A 22,880-nucleotide genomic window follows, 5' to 3' on the forward strand; every position below is an offset into this window, starting at 1 on the left:
ATAGTTTTCATCAACATCTAAAGGTAAAGGTAACAGCACACTGGAGCTGTGTTAACACTGCCTTTGCAGTTCTGAAATTCTTTATGATTAAACTTTGTGCTAATTATTGTCATGCTTTTTCAACAAGTTATAAAAGTGATCTAAATAAAGCTGTCCAAAGGTAACGAGTAAACCCTGTAGCTGAGGAGGTCAAGAAAGAATGACTTCATAAAACCGATAATTCCCTCGGTGGCCTTCAGGTCCACACTCTGTGAAGCAAGATTTTCATCAGTTTTCTTCACTGCTGTGTCCCACTAGAATAGCGCCTCTTACACTCAATAAATATTCGTTGAACTAATCGCTGATCACACAAGCATCGGTGGTACTCAATGTAAAATAATTCAGGGAAAAATGAAAGGATGAAGAAATGCTTTATTGCTCCTTTGAAAATGTGCTTTTCAATGAAACACAGTTACCACCAGGAGCAGCATACCTTAAATTAAGCCAAACTACAGAGCTTCGAGAGCAACTCTTTGAGATGACAGAACAACATGCCACTGAGGAGACCTGGCCAGACACAGGGCCTCAATACTAGGTCCTTTGCTTCACTGGGGTCACAGAATCATGTGAATGCTGCCATTTCCTAGTGGGAACTGGACTCAAAGAAGGTAAAGGCACCAGTGAAAACATCCCTGGAAAGCTTTCAAAATTTTAAAGTATCTAAAGTATTCAAATAACCTAGAAATTCCTCTAAATTCTAAGAAAACAAACCGATTAACAACTTTAGGGCTAAGAAGCATCAACAGATAAAAAGGCTGCATGAATCTAAACTGATTGGAGTATTTGTACACCACTCCCATGACTGAGACAAAGATGATTTAACCAAAAACAGTTTGAGTTCTGCGTCTTTAAGGCTCCACGGATTCTGGCCTTTGGGCAGTAGTAGCAGTAGTAATAATAATAATGAAGTACTTAAAGTATGCTAAGGCTGACTAATCCTTGAATCAGACCTGAGGCAGGTCTGCTTTTCCCAGTGAGAAAGCTGAGAATCAGAGGGGTAAAGTAATCTGTCCAAGGCAAAGAGCTCATCACCAGGGTCTGTTTAACTCAAAAGACCAAATACCTGACTAAGTCGTGTTCAGGACGAACGGGGCAGAGCCACCAGCATGGTGGTGAGCGCCATGGTCTCCTGCATTCTAGTTCCAAATCTGGCACCCCTTTCCTGTGTCCCTCAGGTAAGTCTCACACATTCTATCTGTGCCATGTGGAGACTAGCACTCCTGGGGGACCCTCAAGAGGAAAGGCATGTGTAATGTGGGTTCCAGGATTCTGCTTTTATTGGTTTTACAAACTGGAGTTTTGATTAAGAGTTCATTTCTAAAAGCTTCTATGCTTTGGAACTTTGAAAAACACTGTTCCTTTCTAGCCCTAATATTCTGGGAAGCATGTCTTGCATATAGTACTAATTTTTTAACCTGGTTTCACAAGATTTGGCATATATTTTTTCTCTATTATACAATTATTTTTAAAAAGCTAGCATGGAGGCTTATAGATATATCCAACTGTTTCACAGAAGTGAGGATTTGTTTTATTAATATATTAATATATTTTATATTAACATCTTTTATATTACTATATCATTAATATATTATATATTTTATAATATAAATATGTTATATATTAATATAATTATTTTATAATATATATTATTTATATTATATATTATTAATTTATATAAAACCTCACTTCTGTGAAACACTTGGATATATCTATAATTTATCTGACAAGTCCCTCCCTGGACATCACAAGCTATAAGCACTACAGTGTTCCTTAATGTGAGAAAACTCAATGATTTTTATAAGGATCTAATTTATAAAGGTGATTCAGATGTTCCTCATGGCAAAAAAAAAAAAAAAAAAAAAAAAAATATATATATATAATATATATATATATATATATATATATATATATATATATATATATGGGATCATCTCTATTTTGAAAAGACCATAGCTGGTTAACCCCTTATGGCCTGGCTTTTTTAACACATTACCTTGTGACATGACAATTTGTCCAAAAACGTTTGTGTAGTTCTTGACTCTTCTGCAGGCTTTGTATAGAGACGGCTGACTGAGCAGAGATGGGACCAATGGGAAATCCCGTTGTCCAGAAACACAGAGTTTTCTGCTACAGAGCTCGATGGGCTACACATACTTTTCTGCTAGGTACTCTCTGTTGGTCCAGCTACAAAGTTCTGGCAATGTTCCCATGTTCTGATTCTTTACCTTCCACCACAGCTTTCAATTTGGCATTGAACTAAGTGACTACTTAGTTTTTCTAGGCTTCGACAAAACAAATTTTACATTCTATTGTCGTTGTTAATTTCTTAAAAGCAAAGGAAGCTTAGTAAGCATCTATTATTTGTTATGCTAATCATAAAATGATCTTTTCATAGTAAAATAAAAGCAAATGATATGGTTATTCTACTAGACAAAGTCACTAATATATGCAGAGCACCTTTGTTGAGCTTCTAAACACATCTCAAGAATCACACGATTTCCCCTTCTCCAAAAACTCATTTCAAAATTTGCCTAATGCTCCTTTACTGGTCCCTAAAAGAAACTACAGACACCTTTTAATGACATGTATTTGTCTACATTCTTGAGCATGGGAATAGCTACTATGTCAGCATGTCTGTGTCATTAAGGCCATTAACTTCTTCACAGTATCTGATTTTCTTCAAAACTTTGCTCAGGAATTTTAGCTCAGAGAATTGAATTGCATGCAATAATGTGTATGTTAAAGGCTCTCTGACTAAACTAAAGGTCATTCTTGCATATAGTGATGATGACCCATGGATTAAAGATCCTGTAAGCACTGAAGAGAATTATTGTGGTTTACTGTGGATAACTGAAGTCACTGAAACACTTCAGCTGAAATGTTAAAATGACTTTAAAATAATCATCAACCTCTCAACGAAAGCACCACAACGGTTCTCTTTTTCTCTCCTATTAACATTAACTCAAAGGAAATTAAAGTTAAAAAGCTACTGCTGGCCAGGCACGGTGGCTCACACCTGTAATCCCAGCACTTTGGGAGGCCAAGACGGGCAGATCACAAGGTCAGGAGTTCGAGACCAGCCTGGCCAACATGGTGAAACCCCATCGCTACTACAAAAACACAAAAATTAGCCAGGCATGGTGGTGGGAGCCTGTAATCCCAGCTACTCAGGAGGCTGAGGCAGGAGAATCGCTTGAAACCAGAAGGCTGAGGTTGCAGTGAGCTGAGATGGCATCACTGCACTCCAGCCTGAGCAAAAGAGCGAAACTCCGTCAAAAGAAAAACAACCTATTGCCTGCTAAAATGCAAGTTTTAAGTTAAAAATTACAGATAAACTTAGTAATATTTCACCATGTTAATTCTAACTGCTATGCCACATTTCAACACAGCTATAGGCTAAACTGACCATATTACATGGGTGTAACATAGTCTGTAAATAAAACAACCAAAGTTAAAATACAAACTGGGTTCTTTTTTTTTTTTTTGAGACGGAGTCTTGCTCTGTCGCCCAGGCTCTAAATGAAGATTTTAAAGCTCCTCACAAACTTATTTCTTATTAAGTACGAAGTCTTATACAGTAATTTTTTTTTTTTTTTTGAGACCGAGTCTCGCTCTTGTTGCCGAGGCTGGAGTGCAGCGGTGCGATCTCGGCTCACTGCAACCTCCACCTCCCAGGCTCAAGCGATTCTCCTGCCTCGGCCTCCCAAGTAGCTGGGATTACAGGTGCCTACCACCATGCCTGGCTAATTCTCGTATTTTCTTTAGTAGAGATAGGGTTTCACCATGTTGGCCAGGCTGGTCTTGAACTCCTGACTTCAAGTGATCCGCCCACCTCGGCCTCCCAAAGTGCTGGGATTACAGGTGTGAACCACCGCGCCTGGCCACTTACATAGTAATTTATGAGGTGATTCCCTCTACAAGGTTTTTCTGTTTATTTTTTGTTTTTTTCTTTTTGTTTTTTTTTTTTAAAGAAACCTACCTTAAGGTGTTGGCAAAAAATAAATAAATAAATAAATAATTTCTTTTACATGCTGAACGATCTTCTGTTTATCTGGAAAATTTATTTTAACAAATATATAGACAAAGAAAAGTATTATAACACTGCACTAAAACTCAGACTAAGACTTAACTAAATGTAGACACCTAGATTGAGTTATTAAAGATGCATTTTTAGTCTACACCATCTAGCTTATGTGTCTTTTTGTAGTCTCAAGGGTGATACTGGATACTTTTCTAAAATATTCCACATGTGTAATAGCAACCACAGGCTTAACAAAAACAGTCAAAGGCAAAGCTAGAGCTCACACTGAGGAGCAAATACTACCAACGGAACACCCCTGACAGCTGATAGAAAAAGCCCTTCCTTATTGAAGAATAAAAAAAAACCCCATCCCATGTATTGAAAAAGGGGAAAAGCAGGAGGAAATAATGGGTGAAGTTAAACATCCGCTTTTTAATTAATTCAGGAACCATAATTATTAGCATTCAGCTACTCTACACTAGCTGCTCATCACACCACAAACGCAGAGTTAGTGAGCTGCTATCATCACAATTAAGACAGTCATTACTGAGGCAGAAGCAATGAGATGCCAGCGATCCACACCACAGGACTACTCCATTACCCTCGAGGAGTCTGTGGGTGAAGAAAGCCCCTCAGCAGCATCCTCCTTGATAACTTCCTAACAACACAAAACAGGAGAGTGTGGGTGAAAAGGGGAAGGGGGGAGCCAAACTGTGAAGACAAATGAACATGATGGTAAAATAATATACAACACTGAAACTCAACAGTTTATGTTTTTGCCTCCTGATTTATAAAAACATATTAATAGAGAGTTTCTTTTTTTAAACTATTACTTTTATCATCAGGAACCTCTAATATTTTGGGCACAAATGTCTTTCTTAGATTCAATAGTTCATTGGAAGAATTTCCCTTATCTTGTTTAATTCCTGCCATTTGATTGAAATGTTCTTCCTTCAATACATCCTCTATTTTTTATATCATGGTGCTAATATTTACATACTATAAAGGTACTGTATACACATGTTCTTTAAGAAGATATTAGAAATTACCAAATGTAAAGGCTTAGTTTTAAAAGTTTTGGTAGCAAACACTATATTACAAGCCAGAAATTTCTGGCTATAAACAAGTCAACATTTCTTCGCTGAGACTGCTAGTCATTTTCCTTCCATAGATATTTACCAGAAATGAAAATAAATACATTTTATGTTAGTAATAGGTTGTTTCTTAAAACTATGTATAAAATCAGTTGCACTCTTTTACTATGTAAAGGAAATAACCAAACCTCAAATGCTATCTATGTTTATTATTAAATTAATATTTGCGTTACCCTTTTATATACTTACTAGGCCATTGTTCTGATCTCTGGGCAAACTCGTTTTTACTGATGGACGTGAGATGAGATGTTGGGAGCCGCCAGGGTAATACCTTGGCGTGTAAAGGTATGGGGCAAAGAATGGCTATGGAAAAACATGTAACAAAAAAGGGGTAAACAATTACAGAAATGAAAGTGTAATGAGATTTTTCAAATGAAACCAATAAGATACAACTCCAAAACTTTAATGCAAATGACAAAACAAAAGAAAAAAAAGCCTCACTCATATTCCATAAGATGCTAAACTCAAACTTAAGAAATATTACTTACATTTTTATATTGGTCATTTCATATAAGCTTTTTTCAGAAAAATGAGCAACTAAAGTTTTGCACTTTACAGTTTGACACGAGTTTCTCTCTATATTTAATATGTTTACAAGCTTACCATCTGTCAGGTTCTAAGCAGTTTAACCAATATTAACTCATAATCTTTTTAAAAGAAGCAGACTGGAATCTTAATACTATTCCTTACCAATAAAAAAAGATTAGCCTAAATAAGACCAAAAAGTCTGGAATATATGAAAACACCCTGGCACAAATTCCAAGAATAATGTTATTACAAGTTCCTGGAGTTCACCTCTAGTTTACACCCTAGAGTTTATAACCTAAATAAGCAAGCATATTTTTTTTAAAAAACGTGGGGAATCCACTGTTTATGTGAGATTTATAACAATGGCATACATTTGTAACCAGCTTCATATAAACAGAAGATATCAAATTATACAGGCTAAACATAAAGACTGCAGTTCATAAGGTTTTGTTACACTGAGGTGAAACCTTCCCCACCCTTTTTACTCCTGCCAGCTTAGAGGAATTATTCTGCTTTTAACACTAAAAAATCTCAAATAACTACAGCAAAAAGTAGCTAGATTTAAAAACAAGAGAAAACTGTAAATGTTTTTAAAAATGATAAAATACTATTAAAAAGCATGATTACATTATTGTTATTCATGAAATTAGTGAACATAGTATTTCAGGCTAGATGGTAAGGTAATCTTTCATTTTTTAAAATAAGCTTCTCAGTTTCAAATTTTCAGTTGGTATCAACGGAGCTATTTTATGCAAACTTACACAGCAGATTTTAAGACTGGTAAATAAAAACCTGCATTTCACACTGCCTACCACACAGTTAAATTTTAAAAGATGGAATACATGATAAAATGCTATTATTCCACCTTTGTCTCCTTGTCCAAATAGAAAAACGGAGTAACATTTCTCGGGACTCTTTAAACAGTACCTAATTACTTATATGGCCACCATTTTTCAAAAACTGAAAGTTTAAATTCTAGAATCCTTTCTTTGTCACATTTATCCTAAATTCTCTTTCTTCCCAGCTCATATGAGATGTATTTACACAGGCAGTTTAGGCACTAGGCTTCTATGACTAACTAGGTCCTATGTTTTCTCGAATTAGACTAAAGAGGGAGATAGCAAAAATAAGAAATTGCAATGCACCTTAAGAGAACAGTTCCAGAAAGTGTAACCCCAGGTTCATGCTCCATTTTCCTACAGGAAATATTAGTGTTTGAGGTCATTAAAGTGAGAATATAGCTTGGGCCTACTAAACTTGACAGGGCCTGAATACCACTGATAATTAGTTGCATTTCATCTTTTCATCTGGGAAATTATCCTATTTATATTAACTAAAAAATTGTAGATGACTGAAGATAACTTGACATAAGACTCTAAAAATGGGCTACAGTGCTATTATTTGGAAAAACATCTGAGTTCCACAGCAGTACTTTCCCATTATTATCTCACATTTAAAAGACAAAGGTATATTAAGTATAGGTTTACTAAACTACTATAGGAATTTAAGTTTATCATTGTTTTAAATGCCAATATAAACTATTATACAAGATATAACAAATAGAACATTTGTTTATAAACAAACAAAAAACAGATTCCTTTGAAGCTAGGACAGTCACTGCTGACCCTGTGGAGTCCATTTACTTATCAAGAAACTAAATAAAAGAAAAAAAAATCTAATATTCAGACTCTCTTGAGACCTAGAACACATTAAAATTCTAAATTATTTTGATTTCCAAAAAGTCCTATATTTTACATTCAAACTTTACATTTTTCCTATGCTAAAGCCAAAGTACAGCTTTAAAACCAAAACAGAATCCACAAGCAGAAAACTGAGGTTTCCCTGTAACAAATTCTTAAAAATAAAGCTGCCTCCAACTTCCTTACCCTGTTGTAGAAGGGATGCTGAGGGCCCGTCATGCCGCTGTAATAGCTGCTGTGAGGCTGTGGTGACACCACTCCACCTGCGAAGGGCCCATTGAAGGACGTGGAAGAGCACACGGATGGGGGCTGGCTGTACCCTGATGGCGCCCTAGGAGGACCCTCATGTAGAGGGAGCGGGGGGTACGCCAGTCCTCCAATACTGATCTGCTCTCTGGCAGCACGAACATCTGAAAGATTCAATCAGACCCCAGAAGGCAAGAGAAAACAGGACATTAGGAATCAGTCCAATTATCACATTCTTCTTTAGTTACTAGGCAGAAACATGACTTTATCACTCTTGCCACGGATTCCAACTAGATTAAAAAAGAAGACAGAAAATCTTGAAAACTCACAGGCCTTTTAGTGAGAAATGCCCAGCTACTTTGCAAAAAAGCATTTTCACCATTCGAAGTCACCAATATCTGGATTCTTCTCTTCAGTTATTGGAACAATTGACTCTTCTCTAACTCTTAAAGGATTTAAGATATTCTAACAATTACTTTTATTCATAACGTTATCAAGTATTAATAACTCATATTTGTTGGGTATTAACACATATAATGTTAGCAAAGACTGTGGGTTTGCAAATTATGAGACTCATCCACCTCTGAACAACAACAAATTCCACAGCCATGTAATACCCTTTGACATCAGCCTTGTAACAGGTACCTAGAAAATAGAATACAGAAGTAGTTTAAGGCGATCTCCTCACAGTTCCTGGAAAACTCAAAGGCAGGTCAGCAGAGCCATGTCATACAAAAGACTGTTTCAATGAAGGTTTTATGTGTGTGCACGTGCACAGAGTGGTACCTCCAGAACTTCATTTATTCCAAAGCCTTAATGTCACTACCCTGAAGCTCTAGTCCCCAGATTTAAGTTAATATCTGAAAAGTAATATAAAGATTTTCTTACTTCTCTGGATAGAGATCCCTGTTAAGAACCAAAGACTGGTGACAAGCAAATTACAATGAATGGATATCATGAAGTCATGACTGTATGTTAAAAGAAATCCAATTCCAAAGTTCCAAAGGAAGGACTTGGGTGGGGGCGGGAGGGGTGGGGACAGGGATCATAATAAAGTGAGATCCACAAATACTAACAGGATTTTCTTTTTTTTTTTTTTTGTTTTTGTTTTTCTTAACATTCTCAAAAGGATGCCAAGACTCCTAATCTTTAATTTCATGAATTTTTCTGTGTAGTGCTTAGTTCAATACCTCTTGGTTTTTCATAGAGCAGGAGAAATGTACACAAATAAGTTAGAAACATGAAAAATTCTTAGAACTTTAGATGAAAAATTAAATTTACTACTAATACCCACCTGCAATAATTTCCCGTAGTTTGGGATCTAGGTTTACAGTGCATGGCAAAAAGACTTTTACATCTCGAGCCACAAGAACTGGGGTCCTTGAAGACAAAAACACTTCAAAATTTCTTATATCTCCATCAATTTCAAGAAGTGGCTCAACATCCTTAGTTGTTGGAATATTCTTTGATATTCTTCAAATAAGAAATCAATGAAAAAGGTTATTAATGTCACTATTAGAAAGGTAAATTCTGCATGTCACCTGAAGTTACTTATACAACAATTACACATCTTGGTCTGATGGATTTGGTCTAATTACACATCGGCTCACTGCAACCTCTGCCTCCAGGTTCAAGCGATTCTCCTGCCTCAGCCTACCTAGTGGCTGAGGTTACAGGTGTGCACTACCATGCCCAGCTAATTTTTGTATTATTAGTAGAGACGGGGTTTCACCATGTTGGCCAGGCTGGTCTCGAACTCCTGATCTAAGTTGATCCACCCACCTCAGTCTCCCAAAGTGCTGGGATTACAGGTGTGAGCCATCATGCCCAGCCAAAAAATCTATTTTTAATTTTTAGGGTTTTTTTTGAGACAGAATCTTGTTCTGCCACCCAGGCTGGAGTGCAGTGGTGCAGTCTTGGCTCATTGCAACCTCTGCCTCCCAACTCAAGCTTTCCTCCCACCTCAGCCTCCAGGGTAGCTAAGACTACAGGCTCATGCCACCATGCCTGGCTAATTTTTGTATTTTTCTATACAGACGAGATTTCGCCATGTTGCCCAGGAGGCTCTTGAACACCTGGGCTCAAGCATTCCATTCACCTTGGCCTCCCTATTGGGATTACAGGCATGAGCCACCTCATCCAGTCTAAAAATTTTTTTTTTTAATAAAAGAGAAAGAAACTCAAAAAAGTAGTATGGTTACAAAAAAAGGTAACAATGAGTACGGCCAGAATTCTACTGCCTTTGGCCATGGCAGGACTTGGGTGGGAAAACAGAAGGAAAGACGCACATGCACAGGTGTGTCATATGCTCGGGGTCACCTAAGCTGGCTAAGGGTCACCCCTCAATGAAGATTCATTGAGTTATTGCTTTACAGATGAGGACAGTGGCCTCAGACAAATTAAACAGATGGCCCAAAGTCACACAACTACGAAAGCAAATCTGACTGGTTCTGAAACCCATGTTTTAAATAGAATACCACAGTTTCTCCTTTGCAAAGAAAACAAGAAATCAAGAACTTATAAATAAATTACACAGATTAAAAAAAAGCTAAGTTTTTCCTTTTTTAAAAAGGGTTTTGTTTCCTATTGTAAAAGTAATATATGCTTACTATATATGTATATACGTAAGATAGAAAAACAGACAGGAAAAAACATACTTTAACCAATCAGACACAATACCTCCTAATATAATATGTCACTTAGTCTTTTATTATGCAGAATGTTTTGTATAACTGAGTTCAAGCAATATGTAAACAATTCTGTATCATGCAGAGACTCTTGAATGTAAAAATAAGTAATATTCAATTAAAAACACTTATTAAACACTACTGTATGAAACTGTAGTTTTTGTAGGTCAAAAATGGTCAAATGTTGACAATTCCTGATCTAAGGCAGTAAGCAAGAACGCATCACCGAGGGATAAAGGAAAGAAAAAGAAAGAGAAGTTAAAAGACAAGAGGTAGATGAGAAAACTAGAAACAAATCAAATGTCCACTAACAGATGGAAGGATAAATAAATAGTGGTATATCCACACAACGGAATACTACTCAGCCAAAAAAAAAATGAACTACTGATACAAAGAACATGGATGAATCTCTCAATAAATTAATCCAACCAATAAAGAGTGTATAGCAATATGTTTTCATTTGTATAAAACTAGAAAATGCAAACCAATCTAAAGTATCAATGCAGAGCAAGGTTTGCTGTGAAGTTAGGAATGTGAGGCAGGAGGGAGACAAGGGAGGGTATCAAAGGAAGACGTGGAAAATTTTAGAACTGATGGAAACATTTACTCTCTTGATTGTGGTAATGACTTTGTGGGTATATACATTTATCAAACTCGTGAGATTGGTCAATTTAAATATGGCAGTTTATTGTATGTCAATTACACCTCCAAAAGTTGTTTAAAAATCACTGGATATATCCTTCCAATTAAACAAGAATATTAACTGTTAGATTATACTAAGTGAGCACAGTTGCAGAGGAGCAGTAAGATTTTCACGCCCTTCAAAAAGTGAAATGGGAACCTTATTCTAATGTTAGTAACAGTTATATCATTTCTTTGGGACTAGCACTTTACTGCTCAGACCCAATACTTGGCTAGTAGCCAAATATTGAAAGTCATCTAAGGGAAAAACCCAGAGAACACAATTAGCAAACAAGAAGAGAATAGGGTGCTGGGGAGAAAATAAGGGTAGCAATTTTCTCTTAATTAACTTCAGAAAGTCCGTTTTACAGACACAGACACATGCACAAGACAGAAAAGCCCTCTGAGATGGGGTTACTTTTAATACATTAAAATCGTGTTCAAACTGATTATTAAATATATTTAAAATGAAATGGAAAACCTGGAGAATGGTTGCAAGTGGTGATAAAATCAGAGCTTAAACAGTTAAATAGGTAGTTCATCTATTGCAGGAGTTGAACACAAAATACTAAAAAGAGAAGCTAGAAAGATTTAGATAAAAACACACAGCTGACAAGTCACATGAAACAAATTAACTGCATTTTAATGCCAGCTCTGCTTCTGCCTGAATGCAACAGTGTTCTCAGTATGATGAACAATGCTGCTGTTCACAAGCCAACAGGCTACTGCTGGCTTCCAGATTGAAGTCTCTATTCTAACCTTCTGAGCTCAATACATTAAACTCTTCTGCTGAAAGAGATATTTATGTAAATGATAATCTTTTGGCAGTGGGCCATCAAAATCATATGTGCCTTTATTTTTCAGATATTTTTCCAAAGGTTAGCATTTAAAGAATTTAAGTAACTTCACTTTTCAGTTAAGAGTGAATTTGAATTTCCAGCATTATGAATCATGTGAATTAAAGTTGCCAGCAGTTAAATGGCCCAAAGAAAGCATTATAAAACCTCAGGCATCAATGAGCTCCTAGTAAGTCTAAATGCAATTTCCTTCTATGCTACCAATCTAGCAATACTTGTTAATGCCAACATCAATGTAAGTTAAAAGCATTTTGATTATAAATGACAGTGGTTTATACAAAGTCCATATTAATTCCTTGGCAGAAATTGCATAAACTATTCATATCACTTCCATTCAAAATGAGGTTTTAAATTACATAAAAGATTTCTATTTTAAATCAAAATATAAACAGATTCTTAGAGCAGAATTTATGAAGAAAGTATTATTTATCACATTTTATCTAAAAGTAGCTGCCTAATAATGTCATTATTTAGTAGGATGTTAAAAAATAAGACACAATTTGTTTAAAAATTTAAACAGAGAAAACTCTTAAATGCCTTAGAATTTTATTGCCTTGAAACAAATTTAACTTCTAATAGACTCTCAAATACTTTCTACCAGTGAATGTCCATTTATTAAATACCATCCATGAACAGAACACTTTGGAGATTCTGGGAGACAGACAGAACACACAGACAGAAAACAGCCACTTGGCATTGCAGCCAAAAAGTCAGAAACAAAGAAAAAATGGAGTCCATTTATACACCCACTGCCATCTGTGAAAAGGCAAAAGCCCTGGATACCTCAGGAGCTGGCTACACCCTTCCATCTTCACCCTGTTAATTCCTACCCATCCTTTGTGCTCGGTGCAATTTCCCCCTCCTCAGAGAGCATCCTGGAGACCAACTTATGTTCCTTCATTACAAGCCCCCAGAGCATATATACTTTCTTGCATAATATGTATCATAATTCTGCACTAGTGGAATTACTTTCTTAATGTTTATCTCCCAATCTAGACTGGAAATTCCATTAAAACTGGGAACAAGTTTAGTTTTTTCCACCACTGTATCTCCAGTGGCCTGCACAGAATACTGTCGCAACACTGTTGTCCAATAAATATTTGTAGAAGGAATAAACTACACATGCACACAAAGGTGTTCTTCCTCAAGAACTCTACCCCTTTAAAATAGAATAATTTTCACCTTAATTGTCCTTTCTGATACTGACAAAACCTTGTGCTTGGGAAAGCATAGGTTGATCCATCTGGAGTCAATTTTGTACATGGTGTGGGGTAGGGGTCCAACTTCATTCTTTTGCATGTGGAAATCTAGTTATCCCAGCCCCACTTGTTGAAGAGTCTGTCCTTTCCCCCATCAAATGGACTTGGCATCCTTGCCAAAACCCAACTGGACATAGATGTATGGGTTTTTCTTGATTCTCAATTATATTCTATTGCTCTATATGTCCATCCTCATGCCTGTGACACATTGTTTTGATTACTGTAGCTTTGTAGTATGTCTGAAATTGAGAGGTGTCAGTCCTCCAACTTTGTTCTTCTTTTTCAAGGTTGCTTGGTTATTTGAGGTGTCTTGCAATTGCATATGAACTGAAGGATCAGTTTCCTGTTTCTGCAAAACAAGGCTACTGGAATTTTGATAGGTATAATATTGAATCTGTAGATCACTTCAGGTAGTATTGACATCCTAATATTTAGTCTTCCTACCCATGAGCACAGGATGTCTTCCCACTTATTTAGATCTTCTTTAAATTCTTTTAGCAATTTTTTTAAGTTGTCAGTGTACAAGTCTTTAACTTTCTTGGTTAAAGTTATTCTGAAATATTTTATTCTTTTAGATGCTACTGTAAAATGAACTGCCTTCTTAATTTCCTTTCAGACTGTTCACTGAAGGTGTACAGAAACACAACTGATTTTTGTGTGTTGATCTGTATCCTGCAAACTTTGCTGATTAATTAGCTCTAATAGCTTTCTGTGGGCTCTTTGGGATTTTTCTATATATAGAAGAATCATCCAATCTGGATTCTTTTATTTATTTTGCCTGTCCAATTGCAATGGCTACAGCTTCTAGTGCAATGTTGAATAGCAGTGGTGAAAGTGGGTATCTTAGTTAACTCAGGCTGCTATAACAGAATACCATAGGCTGGGTGGCTTAAATAGCAGACATTTATTTCTTGAAGTTCTGGAGGCTGGAAGTCAGAGATCAAAGTGCCAGATGGTCAGGTTCTGGTAAGGGCCTTCTTTTTGGTTTGCAAATGATCTTCTTCCTAGGTCCTGACATCAAGGACACTACAGAGAGAGAGAGAGAAGCTCTCTGGTTTCTTCTTAGGAGGGCACTAATCCCATACGAGGATTCCACCCTCATGACCTCATCTAAACCTAATTACCAAAGGCACCAACTCTAAATAATATCATACTGGGGGTTTGGGCTTCAACACGAAAATTTTGGCAGGACACAAACATTCGTACATAGCAGCAGGCATCCTTGTCTTGTTCTTTTAACTTAGGAGGGATAATTTCAGTCTTTCACCACGGAGTACGATGTTAGCTGCAGATAAGTCAGTAAAGTTAACCACTAAAATGATGATCTCAATGTCAGGCCTACATCCAAAAGCTTTTAAACAAAACAGCTTAATATAAAGTGATCAATTAAGAAAATGAAGACTATGCTACCCACACTATTTCCTAGTCTATTCTATTTAGTCCAATCTTTGCAAATTCATTTTAGGAAAAAAAAAAGAGTTAAGATATTTACTAGTGTTTATACAAACAAGATGCAACCATTAGTTCAAAAAATAGGGTTTGTTTTTTCCCAACAAAAGTGCATACTTTAATAGGACTATTTGAATAAAAATCCCATACAAATGGAATGTGTACTTAACATTAAGAAAGCAGGGAAGCAGCATGTCCTACAACATAGAACACAATTGGCTCAATCAAGATGAATTACCCTTTCAACTAAATATCTATTTTTTATATTTATTACTAATGTCACAGTCAGTTCAGTAAATGCCAACAGTCTTACAGCTTTAACCTTTAGTCATGAGAAGCACACTTGATTGTTTCCAAAGGGATATGTGAGGCCGTCTTCATTTCAGAGGAGCAGAAGTGACTGTACTGTTGTTTGCTCTTTAATGTTTCAACTACCCATTCCGTTGTCTCATGAAGGCCAGTACCTCTGGTTGCTGAAGTTTTGAATATTTGCCATTTTCAGTCCTTCGAGGCAGATAACCCAAGTGAATGTGCATCTCTGAGGGAGTCATGGCCTGTTCCATGTCCTGCTTATTTGCAAATGCCATTAAAATGGCTTTTCTCAGCTCTCCATCAACATGGCAACTAACACTGACTTGGAAATGCCAATTCGGTCTCGGTCACAACTGTCTGCTCCACAGCATCTGTGTTTGAATAATAACATCTTCAGTATGGCTCTGTCCTCCTAAATCCTGGACTTGGAATTCTGTATGTTTTCTTTGTTGGTTTTGTTTTTAAGATGGAGTTTCACTCTTGTTGCCCAGGCTGGAGTGCAGTGGTGCAATCTCGGCTCACTGCAACCCCTGCCTCCTGGGATCAAGCAATTCTCCTGCCTCAGCCTCCTGAGTAGCTGGGAGTGCAGGCACCAGCCACCACGCCTGGCTAATTTTTGTATTTTTAGTAGAGACGAGGTTTCACCATGCTGGCCAGGCTGGTCTCGAACTCCTGACCTCAGGTGATCTGCCTGCATCGGCCTGCTAAAGTACTGGGATTACAGGCGTGAGCCACTGCGCCCAGCCCTGTATGGCTTTTATAAGTTGCCGTCTCAACATTAAATCTGATGATAGGAATGTTAGTAATGACTTTTCCAACCTGTAATCTGCATAAAATTGTGGTTTTTCCTGTCTATGTAATCCCCAAATTAAAATCCTCACTTCCCAGGTTCCAAACACACTGGAAAAAATACTTGAGAAAAATCTACCATGATTAAGCCCTGTTCACCCTCACCAATCCTCAGGAACAGATCCTGGTCTCAGCAGCAACTCCAACTCGAGGCACCTCTGCTCACCTTGGCCTTTGGATCTGCCTCTGAGCCTGGACTTCCACACTGGATCTGTCAATTTGCTGGTATTTTCAAGGAAAATACTTCTGGTTTCATTGCTTTTTTTCTATTGTTATTCTGTTCTCTGTTTTATGTCTCTCCACTCTAACCTTTATTATTTCCTTCCTTCTGCTAGCTTGGAGTTTAATTTGCTCTTCTTTTTCTAGCTCCTCGAGGTGTTAGGTTAGGGTGTTAATTTAATATCTTTCTCTTTTTTTAATGTACGCATTTACAGCCATAAATTTCCCTCTGAGTACTGCCTTTGCTGCATCCCATAAGTTTTAATCATTCCTAATATTCTTGTAAAAGTATTTTCATAACTATTCCATGAGTCACCTTTCCTACCATGTTGGAAAGAACATTAGCTTAGGGGGTCAGAAAGTAGACACTTTGTCTGCCACAGCCAAAGTAATAAAAGTACTAAGAGCTGAAGCTGTCCACATGCAGAAGACTGCATTAAGTACACAACAACTCTCAACAGAGAAAAGAACTTGCCAGAAGAGAAAAGAGGCATCTATGCTCGTGTGGTGGTCACAGAATATTCTCAAGACAACAATGCGAACAGTGCCAGGTGTTCTCACTGACACTCACTTTTCAAGGTCTACAAAAGTAAGTTTGCATTTTAGGCATCTTATTGAGTAACTACACTAGGAAACAACGAAGTGCTTATATATTCTGCAGGCCAAATAGATCATCATGGCATGCCTTCTTCAAGTGTGTTTGTCTATTTCTGGTTTAAAAGAAGACATTTGCAAGTATCTAATGTGTTTGACTTATGTGTTTAAGGACGGTGTGATTAGGGTTAAATAGTGCAAACCATAAAAGCACTTGTATAAGCTGCCCTGGAAACCATTGGCAGAGCTAAACAAAGTTATTATTTCACTTACTAGAAGAGTTTACTCGACATTAAACAAAAACTATTTCCCACCGAGGGTGTATATCTCCAAGATGACCTATTTGGCCAGAACATCAGGGCCCAAGATTATGTTTTTATATGAAGGAAGGAAACTTGTACGCATGTAATTTAAAGGATTAAAAAAACCCTTAAACTCAGTAGAATGTCATCATATACAAAAACTCTCTTTGGCTTTAAGGCTGCAATTCTGGCAACTAGATGGATGAAAAAACAATCAACAACCAGGGAGGGTAAAAGATAAAAACTCAAAAGGGGTATCTGCCTAGGTTCAAGTACAATACTGGTAAGGCACTGTCTTCATTCATGTCTACGACGTCGAATGTTCTGAGGAAGGTACATTTAGGGGCTCTGTATCCCTCTTCTTATATAAACTCTAACAGGGAAACTATATTTAAAAGTTATGAAGAATTGAGAGGGAATTTTAAGAAGAACGAAGTGGCTGAATACCTACTGTCTGCCATTCTCTGAGGCAGGTGCTTTACCTAGTTTATCTAACTTCTCTCTCTGCATCCCATAAGGTATTTATTATTTCCATTTTTAACATGAGGAAACTGAGGCTCAGAGAGGTAAGCAATGGATGCAACACCACCACAGACATAGCAGCAGAGCGGGTACCTGCTCCTGACTGCTTCAAAAGCTGCTGACTGCTCACTGCACCAGTTCAAACAGGAGCCACAGACATGGCTCAAAATCCCTCAGGTAATGACTTACACGTTTTTAACTCCTTAAAACTATAATAGAAAAGAATGCTGTTACATATTACATTTTAACAAATTGAAGAAGATCAACAAATAAGCTGTGCTCATAAGTCATCCTGGGTTTTTCTTTTAGTTTCAGTTTTTTGCAGACTGAAATAAAGCTTCTCCTCCATCTTCATGCACATATTTAATTTCCTTCATCATTTTTTCAGAATCCAGATCAGCACTTTTTTGTTTACAAAATTATGCAAACCAGTACACTACACAACAGCCTAGAAGCCTGAGCAAAGACTGTAAAAATGATTTAAAAATTGCATGACATGACTTTCACCTAGTCAGAGAAGCAGAGAACACTTCAAATAATTATAAGAAATGTGAACAACTCCAAGATACTATTGGTGATTCACCTATAAAACAATATTCCCAATCAATCTTTCAAGTTTCTAGATCAGATTAAATGAAAACATCCTGTCATCACAAAGAAAGTTTAAACACCGGTAACATTTCTGTCTACTCATGATTTAGGACTTTCTTAATGTTACAGTCCCAAAACTAATTAGAGAAATAAATAAATGTTTAAACCAATTTAGGATTGTAACAGTTGTCCACAATTCTCCAATTTTAATATTCTTCAGAATAGCTCATTTTTCTCACTAACTGAATTTGTTAGGAAATGTTATAATTTGAATCAATAAACTTGTATTAATTCTGCTTCATTTATTGGACTTTTGCATAAGATCTGGAGACAGGCTTCCACTGGGAGTACAAGTCTAAAAAATAGTGTATTACTGCATGATATTTACCCAGTTACAACCATGCAAGTAATCAGATATTAGTAATTCAGGTGACAAAGCAATACTTTCAGCTAGGGTAATGAGAGAAGACTTTAGTAAAGTGGTAAGAGAGGCAAAATAATTCATAACTGACTCCATGTGAAAATAGTGTCTATCATTAAAAAGCAAAGCCTGCTTTTTGGCATCAAGAGTTTATACTTGATATTTTAAAATGTTCCGACAAAAGTACATGAGATCAAATTTTCATAGCTGTTTTAGGCATCACTAGCAATATCATAAGTTGCTACCAAGTGATGAATTGTCCATGCAATTGTCGTCTTTAAGAAATCTAAAAGTGTATTACATTAATCATATATAGAACGCAAATGTTTGATAATAAAACTGAATGACAGGCATAGAGAAAGGAGGCTCTGAACTCAAAGTAGATCTATGAATATGTTTCAGATTAAGGCAAAATCTTTATTATGCAAGTTCTCTTAAAAGATTTAATGTTTAAAAAGTATAGAACTGAAGTTCTACAATGTTTAGGATTTAATATTTTTATATCTAAATGCAAATTTGTAAGCAGATCGATTTCTTTATGCTCCTCTTTTTTCATAGCCACTATTTTCCCAAAAGTTAATTTAAACTAATTTGAGGAGACAAAAGTAGTACAACACTTAAAAACTATGTCATATGAATAGATACCCATTCATTTGCCTAGGATCGTGATTCTCAGTGCTGAAAAATGTCCTGAAGCCATTTTTTTTTTTAACAACAACAAAAAAGGAAATTCAACCTTTCATTAAATTCTGACTTGTTTTTCTATGGAAGGGGAAAGCAAAATGTATTACATCTTATTTTTGGCCAAACATGCTAATAATGTTTGTAGTGAAATGCTCCCATCTTGTGGACTTTTTGAATATTGCTAACAGGAGCCACTTCTGCAGCATGGTTTTACACCAGCAGCTAGACATTTTCTTAGCATTTGAATTAGCTAGCATTTTTGTTACAAATCACTTTTGTTTATTCTTGTATTTTAAAAAGTCTTTAAATATTTTGATTTGAAATTCTGAAATCACAAACCTTTACTGGAAAAATCAACTTCTGGAAAAAGTTGGCTACTTGATCTGTCAAGGCATATGTAATTTTTTTGGTAAATTGAATTCTTTAATAATCAGACTTGTTTGAAAAATATAACTATACATAATGCTCTTACTATATTATAAAATAAACTGTAAACCTGCACAAGTAATAATTTTTTTTACATATTAAACATGTATTTCTTACATATTAAAACATATATTTCAAGAAATTGTCTTTGGTATTAGTTTCCAACAATTCCAAACACTGTAGAACTTTGGAATGTTCTATATACTTTTTCAATGTTAAATCTTTTAAGATAACTCGTACAATAAGGGTTTTGGATAATGAAGATCTGGGTTAATATACCTGAGTTTTTCATGTTGACGTTAGAAACACATGACTTTGGAACACTTAATATTTTTTCTTCATTCTACGTTTGCATTAAACACTGAAAATGGCATTATGAGAGTAAAGTCTGAGAAAATACATTCAAAATCAAAAGTAAAAGAAAACCTATTGGCTGGGCACGGTGGCTCATGCCTGTAATCCCAGCACTTTGGGAGGCTGAGGCGGGTAGATCACGAGGTCAGGAGATCGAGACCATCCTGGCTAACACAGTGAAACCCCGTCTCTATTAAAAATACAAAAAAAATTAGCCGGGCATGGTGGTGGGCGCCTGTAGTCCCAGTTACTCAGGAGGCTGAGGCAGGAGAATGGCGTGAACCCAGGAGGCGGAGCTTGCAGTGAGCCGAGATCGCGCCACTGCACTCCAGGCTGGGCGACAGAGCGAGACCCCATCTCAAAGAAAAACAAAAAAGAAGAAAAGAAAAGAAAACCTATTGAAAAAGTTACCTAAAAAAAATTATAGCCATATAGTAGACATAGAAATGGTATAAAGGCTTAAACAAACAGATGTACCAGATGTTTAAGTGCTAAATATCAGAAGTGATTTTTTAAAGCTTTCCACACAAAACCTAGCACAGTTACTAGACACAATTAGAACTAAATAAAGCATTTATTTGAGATTTTATATGTTGCTAAGTTGTTCGCGTTTTTCAACAGAAAAGATAAATTCAACACTGCAGAAAAATTTCTATCTGCTATAACATTCCCATTGATACCCTAATAAGTTATTCTAAATACTCATAGATATATCAATGAAAAGTTAAAATCTATCTGGAAATTAAAATATTTAGTTCTATATTTCTGGTATCTCAGACCCACTGCCTAGCTGGCAGCTACAGAGGACAGGCTCCTGGCCCCAAGAAACAGACTTGGGGAAGCGCAGTTACAGCTGTGAGGTCTTAGGTAACTCCTGCTCTCTGCCTCTTAGGGTTAGAAGTACAGGTTGAGTATTCCTTATCTGAAATGCTTGGGACTAGAAGTGTTTCAGATTTGGGAGTTTCGGCAGTACCAGCTGAGCATCCCTAATCCAAAAATCCAAAATCCCAAATGCTCCAGTGAGCATTTCCTTTGAACATCACGTCGGCACTCAGTTTCAGATTTGGGGGCATTTCAGATTTCAGATTTTCAGATTAGGGATATGCAACCTGCATTAAATGTGATAAGCTAGGTAAAGTGCTTAATCCAATGCATGGGACAGAATGAGGGCTCACATAATATATTAGCTACTACTTTTATTAGACTGTGCCCTGCATATAATAAATTCTATAAATATTTGTTTAATAAATGAACACAATTAAAATGTTTAGCACAACAGAACTGGAGTCATCTAAGTACATGGCCTTTTAAAAACAATTCTGACAACAAGTCTCTAAGAAGAAACTGAGTCTCTAAGAAGACTCTGAAGTGAGAGGAACCTGTCTAGAAGTAGTCAATCCAAAGCAACTCCACCAGAATGTAAATTAGTACAACCTCTATGGAAAACAGTATGGAGATTTCCTCAAAGAGCTAAATGCAGATCCACCATTTGATCCAGCAAGCCCATCACTAGGTATCTACCCAAAGGGAAAAGAGTCATTATATGAAAAAGACACTTGCACATATATGTTTATAGCAGCACAATTCACAATTGCAAAGATGTGGAACCAACCTAAGTACCCACTGACTAATGAGTGGATAAAGAAAATGTGGTTTATATACACCATGGAATACTACTCAGCCATTAAAAGGAACAAAATAACATATTTTGCAGCAACTTGGATGGAGCTTGAGGCCATTATTCTAAGTGAAGTAAAACAAGAGTGGAAAACCAACAACCATATGTTCTTACTTATAAGTGGGAGCCAAGTTATGAGTAAGCAAAGGCATACAGAATAAAATAATAGACTTTAGAGACTCAGAAGGGACAGGATGGGAGGAAGGCTAGGGAAAAAAAACTACATATTGGGTACAATCCACACTACTTGGATAATGGGTGCACTAAATCTCAGAATACACCACTAAATAATTCATCCATGCAACAAAAAACCACTTGTACTCCAAAAGCTATTGAAATAAAAATTTTAAAAAACACAGAGCAACTCCACCAGACCATGGCATTCATAAATGGATTATGAATGTAAGAAACCTTAGAAATGCAGCTGAACTCAGAGTTACAGGGAATGCCTTCAAAAACATTGCTGTGATTTTAGCATCACCTGACATAAGGCAGAAGCCGCCAAGTGTTAGGTGAAATATACAGTCATCATTCAGTCAATGTGTACTGAGAAGCTACTATGTGTCCGGCCCAGGGATATACTGGTATATAACAAAAGAAACATTTTACCCATATTTAAGCCTAAAGAATGAAGTATCTGGATGGACGGTATTCTCTTCAAGATAAAGTGAGGCTTCTCATCTACCACCTCCCCAATTCATGCCTTCCTCAATCCAAAAGTTATCATCAGATTTCTTTATTCTTTCAGAAATACCCACTACTGCCTAAATACTGATCACTTGTCTAGAAGCAAAAAAATTCAGCAATGTTTAAGAAAGTTACAGTTCATGAAGTGTATAGTCTCATTCAGGAGACAAATATTAAAGAAATAGCAATGCAAATATGTATAAGAAGGTAACTATGGCCAGTGTTATGAAAGAACACACTAGTACATAAAGGACTCATCTAATAAAGCCTCGAAGGATGGGGGGGCTTGGTAACAAAAGGCTTCCTAAGGCAGTAATATTTAAGATGAGACCAGAAGAAGGAGGTGGGATGGGCCAAAGAGAAGAGCACATGAAAAGTAAACAGTAAGAGGGAGAAGGAGCCGGAGCCAGGCTGAGGACACTGCGAACTCCAGCAGAAACCTGGTGCCTGAATACAGGTTTTGACCAATTATATCCTTTTGTCTTTAGAGCCCAATTTGATATGCACAGACCATCATTTGCACTTTATACTATCTATAAGTCAAAATCATTATTATTCTAAAAGCAACTCATTAGTTGCTCTCCTGCCCATGATATCTTTCCTACACCTAGCAGTCTTCA

At 36.5% G+C, this 22,880-nt stretch overlaps 1 protein-coding gene and 1 pseudogene across 16 annotated transcripts in view; both read right to left on the reverse strand.

Moving 5' to 3' along the window:
• KIDINS220 (kinase D interacting substrate 220) overlaps window positions 1-22,880 on the reverse strand; it is a 116,533-nt gene that overhangs the window by 21,403 nt on the left and 72,250 nt on the right. For 9 of the 16 annotated variants that reach the window (NR_145965.2, NM_001348741.2, NM_001348739.2 and 6 more), the window contains 2 exons: window positions 8,983-9,161; window positions 7,629-7,852 (listed from right to left, as the gene is read on the reverse strand). Coding sequence is in view for 14 of the 16 variants with exons in the window: in NM_001348741.2 (NP_001335670.1) it covers window positions 7,629-7,852; window positions 8,983-9,161 (403 nt within the window). In the remaining 2 variants the exon portion in view is untranslated. Of the gene's footprint in view, window positions 1-4,661; window positions 4,719-5,403; window positions 5,518-7,628; window positions 7,853-8,982; window positions 9,162-14,714; window positions 15,305-22,880 lie in introns of those variants that run through there. The other 7 variants (NR_145964.2, NM_020738.4, NM_001348729.2 and 4 more) reach the window with 3 other exon arrangements.
• Window positions 14,425-15,383, reverse strand: LOC100216337 (ARF like GTPase 1 pseudogene; annotated as a pseudogene).

Source organism: Homo sapiens, chromosome 2, assembly GCF_000001405.40.
Source record: "Homo sapiens chromosome 2, GRCh38.p14 Primary Assembly".
NCBI classification, from domain to species: Eukaryota; Metazoa; Chordata; class Mammalia; order Primates; family Hominidae; genus Homo; species Homo sapiens.